Source organism: Homo sapiens, chromosome 9 (genome assembly GCF_000001405.40).
Source record: "Homo sapiens chromosome 9, GRCh38.p14 Primary Assembly".
Taxonomy (NCBI): domain Eukaryota; kingdom Metazoa; phylum Chordata; class Mammalia; order Primates; family Hominidae; genus Homo; species Homo sapiens.
Genome location: NC_000009.12, coordinates 91,510,360 through 91,521,019, shown reverse-complemented (window position 1 = coordinate 91,521,019; position 10,660 = coordinate 91,510,360). Strand labels below are relative to the sequence as shown.

At 41.8% G+C, this 10,660-nt stretch overlaps 1 annotated feature.

Moving 5' to 3' along the window:
- Nucleotides 5,071–6,270: an enhancer, noted in NCBI's record as "BRD4-independent group 4 enhancer chr9:94277032-94278231 (GRCh37/hg19 assembly coordinates)". NCBI's record gives its function as "activates an origin of replication core promoter dependent on BRD2, P300/CBP, MED14 and CDK7 cofactors, and independent of BRD4, by STARR-seq in HCT116 cells {active_cell/tissue: HCT116}" and the evidence as "EXISTENCE:reporter gene assay evidence [ECO:0000049][PMID:35650434]".

Below are 10,660 nucleotides of genomic sequence, written 5' to 3'. Positions count from 1 at the left end.
GAAAAGAGAAAAATATTTATTGCCTGTCACACCTCCAATATATTTACCTTTCCCCATGCTTTTTTTTTGTGTTTGTGGATTTTAGTTATTGTCTAGTGTTATTCCCTTTCAGCCTGAAGGATTCTTTAATATTTCTTGTAAGACACGATTGCTAGTGATGAATTCTCTTAGCCTTTGATCATTTGGGAGTGACTTTATTTTGCCTTAATTTTTAAGGACAATTTTTCTGGATATTGACTTCTTAATAGGTGGGGTTTTTTTCCTTCTTTCTTTCAGCATTTTAAGTATACTGTTCCACTGCCTTGTGACCTTTATTATTTGAGTCAGCTTTTTATGATTAATCATTTTTCTCTTGTTGCTTTCAAGACATTTTTGGGTCTTTCAATAGTCTGACCATGAAATATTTAGGTATGAGTCTCTTTGTGTTCATTCTACTTGGAGTTGAGCTTCTTGAATCTGTAGATTATACTTTTTAAATTCCAATTTTGGAATTTTTTTGGTCTTTCTTCAAATATTTTTTCTTCCCCTTTCTCTCTCTCCTCTCTTTCTAGGGAGTTCCATTACACTCAAGAAGGGACATGAGAGGGTTGGGTGGAAAGTAAGAGCCAGGACAAATTTGTAAATGAGCAGAACTTGAAATGAGTTCCCTAGCCCACAGACAGACCTATTGGCAAAGAAAGGAAGCCTTACTCATTTAAGGTGTTTGATCATAACCCCTGACCATCACTGGCTAACAACTAAGGTATACTGATACAAAGTGACCCATAGAAAGCCAGCCATATAAATTAGAAGAATAAAAATGAAAAAGAGAGAGAGCGCACAAGTGCATGCATTTCTTGTGTCCCAAGGGTCTCTGAAGCTCTCTTCATTTTTTCTGTTTATGGGTCTCTGATCCCATTTTTTCTGTTTATAGCTTCTCACATTCCTTGTCTGTGAAGTTCAGCATCTGGGCCTCATTAGAGGCAGTTTCTATGAATTGCTCATTTTCCTGCATGGAAGTCACACTTTCCTGCTTTTTAAAGTATGTCTCCTAAGTTTTTATTGAAAACTAAACATCTTAGATAATATATTATAGAAATTTTGATTCTCCCCCACGCCACCTCAAGGGTTGTTGTTGTTACTCTTTTTTTGCTTGTCTGTTTTGATAATTTGCCTAAACTAATTCTGTGGTGTATCTTTGTTGATGTCCCTATTTCTTTTGTTTCTCTTTCTTTCCTTTCTTTCTCTTTCTTTCTTTTCTCCCTTCCTTCCTCTCCTTCCTTCCCTTTCTTTCTTCTTTCCTTTCTTCCTTTCTTTTCTTCCTTTCCTTTCTCCTTCTTTCCTTTCTTCCTTCCATCCTTCCTTCTGTCCTTCCTCCCTCCCTCCTGTTTTTTTCCTTCCTTCCTTCCTCCCTTCCTTCTTTCCTTCTATTTTTATTCTTTTCACTTATATGGCTGGCATCCATGGGTCACTTTGTATCAGTATGCCTGACAAGTTAGCCAGTGATGGTCAGGGATTATGATCAAACACCTTAAACGACTAAGGCTTCTTTTCTGTGCCAATAGCTCTGTTTGTGGCTGGGAAACTCATTTAAAGTTCAGCTCATTTATCAATTTGTCCCGGCTCTTACTTTTCACCCAGCCCTGTTGTACCTCTTTCTGGGTATGTATAGCCTCAGGTTAAGCCAGAGATGTGTGGATTGCTGGGGTCCTCTCTGGTCTCTTCTGAATGTGCACACAGCCTTGCACGTATGCACAGCCTTAAACCGACAGAAATGTGGGAGCTTACCAAGGTCCACTATGGCTGTCTCATTCCCTTGATTTCCTGGTTAAATTTCTGGCTAGCCTGCAGGTCAGCTGGTCTCTACCGGAATCAAGCCTCGGGCTGACTGCAGTGTTCTTCTTCCCTGTTCCTTTGCCACTGGGCTTACTATTGTTTCCAATAACATCCAGGAGAATGGAGTTCTTCCTACTCTCCACTCCAAATCAAGTTATCACCCTCTGGTAGCAAAGCTTATGGTTTTCATTCCCTGATGAAATACTTCACTGACAGAGCAGGCAGTGGGGGTGGAACCAGCCCCCAAAAAAGAGCCACAACTACCTGAGATCCCGCAGTTTTCTCACTCAACCTTTCTTAATTTGTGGAATGCCTTTGGTTGATTCTTAGAGTCTTGAAATGGTGGGTTTTTTTAAATAATTTTTTTTCAGTTGCATTGTTTCTTCTCAGAGAAAGGACTTGCTAAGCTCCTGACCCCAGCACTGTGGAAGCGCTGCCCCCAGGAATCTGTACTTTAACAAGCCCCCCATGTTTTTCTGATGTGCCTTAAAGCTTGAGAACTAGTGCTTCTACCTAGAACCAGTTTTTCCACTTACGCAAAGGATCCCATCCCCTCTCGCAGGCTTCAGATCCTGAGTCTCTGCTCTTTCTTGAACACGCTCCCTTCTGCAGGCCATTCCGCTGGCTTTTCTATTTGCCCTGTGCCTCCTAGATACTCACATTCACTCATTCACCATCTTTAAAGTCTGTTCAAATCTTGTCTTTTCAATATTCCCTTCTCTTTCTATCTTGTATTAAACTGTAATTCTTATTTCTTAAGCTTACTATTTTTGTTTGTTTCTCTCTACTTGAATATATGCTCCAAAGGGCAGGATTCTTTGTCAGTTTTGTTCACTGATGTATCCCAGGTGCTGAAAACCCAAAACTGTGCCTGGAATATGGCAAATACTTGTTGAATGAATGAACATAGTAACTGAAAATGTACCATGAAAAGAAACATTGAGTTACTTAATGGCACCTGGTGCCTAGGATGCAAGGATCTCTCCAAATACGTCTGTCTGTCTAAATTCTAAGGGGTCACACAGACACTGGGCTTCTTGGATGAACACAGGCAAAGTTGGAAGGCAAAAAGAAAAGGGACAATAAATTATTTTCATGTATACCTGACCCCTGTAAAGTTCAGGAATACCACTGTTTGATTTATTGTGCTCTTGGGAACTGGCAGTACTAGAATTTCTTTTGTTATCTAGCTAGTATCTGGTGTAGGAAAGAAACACCTCTCCCCCTGAAGGCTCTGATGATCATCTCCCTAGGCCTTTTCACTGTCACTCCCAGGAAGGGCGCTTGTCATCCTAGACAGGAAGGCCTGGACACCTTGAAGTGGTGGTCCGGAGTTGGTTCCTTCCTGGTGGGTTCATGGTCTCAGCCGTGGACCTTCATAGTAAGTGTTACAGCTTTTAAAGATGGCACAGACCCAAAGAGTGAGCAGCAGCAAGATTTATTGTGAAGAGCAAAAGAACAAAGCTTCCACAACCAGTGGAAGAGGAACTGAACGGTCCCGCAGCTGGTTGCTGCTGGCTGGGGTGGCCAGCTTTTATTCCCTTATTTGTCCCTGCCCATGTCCTGCTGACTTGTCCATTTTACACAGTGCTGATTGGTCCATTTTACAGAGTGCTGATTGGTCCATTTTACAGAACGCTGATTGGTGCATTTTACAAACCTCTAGCTAGCTACAGAGCGCTGATTGGTGCATTTTTACAGAGTGCAGATTGGTGCATTTTACAATCCTCTTGTAAGACAGAAAAGATCTCCAAGTCCCCACTCCACCCAGGAAGTCCAGCTGGCTTCACCTCTCAGTGGGACTTGCTTCCTTCTTCCTCACCAGCTTCCAGCTTTGAACAACAGCCTGATTAACCACCACACTATCAGAGCTGGTAAGAGCGCAGAGTGGGCACATTGTGCCCCATGCCTGGCACGTGCTTGCACAGCAGCCAGCATCCTCTATCTGTTCACTCTCTACTTTTGTTTCTGGGAAACTTGAATATGAAATCTTCTAGCACTTTATAAACCACTGGTGTGAATAATTTTTTCTTGAAAAGCAAATGAACTGTTTCATTTTTCACAGCTCAACTCTGAAGCTACCAGCAATCAATCATTGTCCAATATAAAAGGTGAAGAAACAAAAGACAGGCCAAAGAAAAGGGTTTTATTTTAACTTCTTATTTTGAAATGAGTATAGACTCATAAGAAGATCAAAAAGCAGAACAGAAAAGGCCTGGGTACACTTTCCCAGCGTCCTCCAATGGCGGCAACTTGCATAACTCGAGTACATGATCAAACCAGGAAACTGACACTGGCACAATATCATCCCAGGCTGGTTTTTACATGCACTTGGCAAAAGAAAATTTTCAACGTTAAATCGGCAAATTCTAGGAAATACTTGATTTAAGTTTTATACTTCAATTTTTGGGATATCCATGATTTAATTAAGTGATAAGAGAGGATTGAATAAAGCCATGCCATATTTCCATAGAAATAGGTGTATTAATGTCCTGCTGTTACCATGGCAAATTACCACAAACCTGGTGGCTTAAGGCAACAGAAATGGGCTGGGCACGGTGGCTCATGCCTGTAATCCCAGCACTTCGGGAGGCTGAGGCTGGCTGATCACTTGAGGTCAGGAGTTCAAGACCAGCCTGGCCAACATGGTGAAATCGGTCTCTACTAAAAATACAAAAATTAGCCCAGCATGGTGGCGGGCATCTGTAATCCCAGCTACTCAGGAGGCTGAGGCAGGAGAATCACTTGAACTGGGGAGGCAGAGGTTGCAGTGAGCTGAGATTGCGCCACTGCACTCCAGCCTGGGTGACAGAGTGAAGCTCCATTTCAAAAAAAAAAAACAAAAAAAAACAGAAATGTATTCTCTCACAGTTCAGGAGGTCAGAAGTTCAGTATCAGTTTCAGTAGGCTGAAATCAAGGTTTCCCTGCCAATTTGCAGTGCTGCTTGCATTCCTTTGCTTGTGGCCAGATCACTGCAGTCTCCACCTCTGTCTTCACATGGCCTTCTCTTCTGCGTGTGTCATCTCCCCGTCTTTTACCGACACTTGTGATGGCATTTACAGCCCATCCAGATAATCCAGGATAACCTCCTCATGTCAAGATTCTTAACCACATCTGCCAAGACCCTTTTTCTTTATAAGGTAACATTTACTGGTTCCAGGGACTAGGACCTGATATCTTTGGGTGGCCGTCCACCTACTATGTAAGGTAAATTCAGGGATTGAATAAGGAAAGACTGTCACCTATGCAGCTGGAGGTTCATCATTGGAACATGCTTTCACTTTAGTGGAAACAGAAAGATTCTCTAATTCCTTAGAACCAAAAGCTTTGGGCTCTTCTTTAGTTCACATTGTACTAATTTGTGATTGCTTTAAAATCCAGAACTGGGTAAGATTTTTCCCACTTTAACCCCAATTCTTTTTACACGTTTTGCCAATGGGTTTGAAAGACGTAATGGAATTGACTACCCTTTCATAAAATGAAATTGTAGTTTTCATAAAACTCATAGTTTGCATTTCTGAAAAAAGAGAAAAGAGAAGTAGTTTTCTTTTGGGGGGCCAAAATAGCTGTTTCTTAATTTATAAACCAGGCATTGAGTCTGATTTGAGTCACTGTCTTTTTTCTTCCTATGTAAGTGGACATTTTAATAGTGAAAGTCCAGAAAACGACTGTGGCGTGGGCTGATTCTGAGCTGGCATTTAGCTGCTTGATAAGACGAAAGGAAGGAGGCGCGTAAATGAGTGCTTGATTACTCTCTGCCGCCTGCAGCTCCTCCCCCGCCATCCACTGTGAATCATGTTGCAGCAACAGCACATGCCAGACAAAGACACTGAAGTCTATGACATCGCTTGCAAAGAAGTTGTATTAAATGTCCTCAGTGAAATGACTTCAGAAAGTTCTCATTATGTCAACCAATCTTCACCTCACAAAATGAGAGCTGGGGTCAGAGAGAAACAAAGAATGTTTTTGTGGCACACTGCAACCAACGCAGAGTTTATGTGGCAGATGTTCATCCAGCCACGCAATGCAGATGACTTCATACGTGGGGGAGTCTGCTTACCATTGCATCGGCTGCTTCTCCCCCAGAACTACATCATCACCACTTCTTGAAGGCAGTTTTTATGAGCAATGGAGAACACTATGAACATAGCTGGGACCAGTGTGTTTTTAACTAGTTTTGTGTCTCTGAAGCAATCCCAAACTAACCTTTTTTTCTTTTTCATATCTAATTTTCTAACTCATGATTTAAAAAATGATGTCTGTGTTTAAATGCTTTAAGTACCTTTTTTTCATGCTTTCAGTACCTTTCTCTTTATTCTGTATCTCTTGTGATTTGGGTTGCTAATATCTTACTAATTAACATATTTTAAATATACAGCTATGTGGTTAAGGTGTTAAATTGGATTTTTTTAAAAGAATAAGATGTAGGCTGGGCACGGTGGCTCATACCTGTAATTCCAGCACTTTGGGAGGCCGAGGCGAGTGGATCACTTGAGCTCAGGAGTTCAAGACCAGCTTGGACAATGTGGCGAAAACTTGTCTCTACCAAAAATACAAAAAAAAAAAAAAAATTAGCCCAGCATGGTGGTGCACACTTTTGGTTCCAGCTACTTTGGAGACTGAGGTTGGAGGATTGCTTGAGCCCTGGATGCAGAGGTTGCAGTGAGCCAAGAATGCACCACTGCACTCTAGCCTGGGTGACAGAGTGAGATCCTGTCTCAAAGAAAAAAAAAATTATTTTAGAATTCTAATCCAGATTCACTTCCTTCCCCAATGGCCAACTGAAAATGACAAAAAGAATGAGCAATAGAGAAGAAACCAATTTCCTTGAAAATACATGCAAAACCATAGGTTAAAAATAATAACTGCAAAAGACAATACATTTTGGATCACACTGGGACATAACACCAAGAAGCATATGCAACCCCACAGGTCATTTCCAGCTGACAGTTTCCCATAAAAGGGTAGCACAGCCCTAAGGGGTGCAATCAAGGGTCCTGGCTAGGGTGTCCACACCTGGCATTTTGGATGAGCCAGGCGGGGGGGAGATCATCAAGATGCCTAGAATTTCTGCAAAGCATGTGGCAGTCAGCTTAGTATGAGCTGCTCTATTACCCCAAATATACTCGAACATCCAGGCTTTGCTACAAACCACATGGGCCTGCTTTCCTTGGAATGGCCCATTGAGATTAGTGAGCAGACACTGGGTCCTTGCACAGAGGACACTGCATCCATGAGAAAGTCCTTCCAGAACCCCTGAGTTCAGGAGACCGCCCCACCTCAATCTGTCCCTTCCCCACACAGCTCTTAGCAAATCCTCATTAACATGAACAATAATTCCCCAAAAAGAGAACAATGACAACAAACAAAGACAGAGGAATAATATACATCAGAAGTAAAAGAAAATGTGAATTAACATTTCTCCATGAACTCACGGAAATCAAAGGAAGCATAATCACAGTGAAGTAAGAACTCAGAGGAGATCTGTAAGACATCAAAGAAGAGACAATAATATAACAGAAGAAGATTTAAAGTAAGCTGTGAAAGCTTAGGAAAGAATGAGAAAGCAGGATGGAGACAGTCCAGACAGTACAGAAACAAAGGCCTTTGCAGTGCAGCCGTCCGATGCTGGCTCCCCAGGAAATAGACCCAGGATGGAGATGAGCTTCAAGACTTAGGAGGAGTGCTCTTGGGATTAACAACCATGGAAGGGGAGGGGACCAGCATGGGTGGCAGAGGAAGAAGTGGAACTTTGACGCAGTTCTGTGTTGAGTTTGGGTCTTCTAAGAAGCAGATGCCAAGAGATTAGACATAAAAAGAGAGTTATTGGGGAAATAACTAACTCAAATAACCGTCTCTTATTCAACCTTCTGCTCTGGCTCCCTTGACCAAGCACCCTCCAATTCCTTATATAGGTGCATTCTTATAGCTCCAGGCAGCATCTGCTGCTAGATCCTCTGGTTTCTTTAGGGTACAGTTGCCTTCCTCCCCTTTCAGGCCCAACAGTTCCAGGCTGGTTTGTGTTGTGATTTAACCTACTTACTGGTCTGGTATCCAGGAAGGGAGGTAGAGGCAGATCCTGAGGAAGGCACAGGTATCGGGAGGAGAGGACCCTAAGTCATCTTCAACAAAGGGTAGGCAGGACCGAGGTTCCTGTGTGCAAGCTCAGAGGTTCAGGGGAATCTGGAGATTTGATATTTTAGGAAGCATTAATCCAGATGTCCCCATCCTCTATGCTGGGTCCCGTTCTTTCCCAGCCATGGCCTCACCTTGACATAACAGTGTCACCTTGGTGGGAATCCACCTCATTTGGAGCTCTGCCACTCTCAAGGGAGGTCTGACCCTGGCACTCAACCCTCCCTTCCTTTTCAGTGCAGGAGGTGAGAATTTCTCTATTCATGACCAAAGAAGGCTTCTGCATTCATTCTTAGCTGTTAGTTGCTAATTGATTATCCCAGCTTTTTTATTTTCTTTCCCAAAGGTCAATCAAGTTTAGCAATAGCCAACCAATCCCCTTTTCGTTATGGTTAGTATTTCCCCCACTTTTCCCAAACCCTTGGCATATCACACGAGTTAATGCACTTCCTCTCTCCAGGACACCACCAATGGAAGCTTTAATGCCTGCACCATTTCCTATGCAGCGCTGTCTGTGCTCTACCTACCACGAGTCATTGGGTCTTCATTGCCAGGTAGGCAGGGGCTGATCCACCCCAGCCTATGTGGGTCTCACCGCAGTGCCTATATTTTTGAACATGATCTTGTTCCTTTTTTATGGCTGCATAGTATTCCATTGTGCATATGTACCACATTTTCTTTATCCAGTCTATCACTGATGGGCATTTGGGTTGATTCTATGTCTTTGCTATTGTGAACAGTGTTGCAGTGAACATACATGTGCATGTATCTTTATAATAGAATGATGTATATTCCTTTGGGTAGATACCCAGTAATGGGATTGTTGGGTCAAATGGTATTTCTGGTTCTAAATCTTTGAGGAATCGCCACACTGCCTTCCACAATGGTTGAACTAATTTACACTCCTAACAACATTGTAAAAGTGTTCCTATTTCTCTGCAACTTCACCAGCATCTGTTGTTTCTTGACTTTCTAATGATCGCCATTCTGACTGGTGTGAGAAGGTATCTCATTGTGGTTTTGACTTGCAATCCTCTAATGATCAGTGATGTTGAGCGGAACAACACACACAGGGCCTGTTGGGGGGCAGAGCATCAGGAAAAATAGCTAATGCATGACAGGTTTAATACCTAGGTGATGGGTTGATAGGTGCAGCAAACCACCATGGCACACATTTACCTATATAACAAACCTATACATCCTGCACATGTACCCCAGAACTTTAAAAAAAAGAATGGAGGGGATAAATGGAGATAAATGTCCTGGGCTTCTTGCACTGGCTGGGAGAAGGGAAAGAGTAACAGTTGATATTAGATCTAGGTAAGTCCAAGATGTATTCTGTCATTTCCAAAATAACCATTAATAGAAGAGAAAAAGAGTGTATAACTTTCAAACTAAAACAGAGAAAAACGAAATAAAAAGATTGTTTTACATAGATGTATTACGTGATGGCAAAATAAAACAAAAGATTCTTTTCGTTTTTTAGACAGAGTCTTGCTCTGTCACCCAGGCTGGAGTGCAGTGGAGCGATCTTCGCTCACTGCAACCTCAGCCTCCCGGGTTCAAGCAATTCTCCCTGCCTCAGCCTCCTGAGTAGCTGAGATTACAGGTGCCACCACGCCCAGGTAATTTTTGTATTTTTAGTAGAGACAGGTTTTCGCCATGTTGGCCAGGCTGGTATTGAACTCCTGACCTCAGGTGATCCTCCCGCCTTGGTCTCCAAAAGTGCTGGGATTACAGGCGTGAGCCACCATGCCCAGCCTAACAAAAGACTCTTTCAATATGAATGAGATAAGAAAACAATGGAAAAGAACCCAGAACAGGTGGAACAAAATGACAGATATATTGTAAATCTAAGGAGACAGAAGGGTTGAAATAAAGGATGAAAAAAGAAATCCAGTTATCATTAAACAAAATAAAATTGGTATAGCTGTACTAATACCAGGCAAATACAATGTATACTTTGAGGGAAAAACACACAATTAGAGACAATGAGAATCACTACGTAACTGGACCCGCAGCCTCAAAATACTTAAAGCAAAAATTGATAGAACCACATAACCTCATAGAGCCACAGTAATTCACAACCACAGTAGGAGATTTTACTATATATTTTGCGGTAATTGACAGAATAATGACAACCAAAAAATCCAGAGGAAAGAATATTTAATCAACATGATCCACAAACTTGACCTACAGACAGATATGACATAGTTCCTTGAATCTAAGAAGTCCTTGACTGGAAGACACACTATTATTTTATGAGGCACTAAGAAAAAAGAGAACCATGTTAACTGAGACACAATGATTTCTCATCACTTGACATTGTTAGACCACACTGATTGAGGAAGCTCCTTTATATTTAATTATGTTGTTCTTGTGCATATTTTTAAAGGGGAATATAAGAGAAATAAATTGTATTAGCTATTTCTGAAATGTCTTTGAGAATTATTTGCTTTGGGATTTCTTCAAGACTCAGAGCCATCAATGTTCATGTTTTTCCAAACATTCTCATCCTCTTTGACATCAGGAGGGTTGGAAACACGGCATTGCTAAGAAAGAGCTCTGTTACTGTCTATGGGGTTTTTTTCCCAAACCGGTAATACTGACTTTAAGACTCTGATGCTTGATCCTACCTGAAAAGTGGCAATGGAACATTTTCAGACAACTACTAAGACTCACATATCTTCCTCAAATGGTCCTTAAACG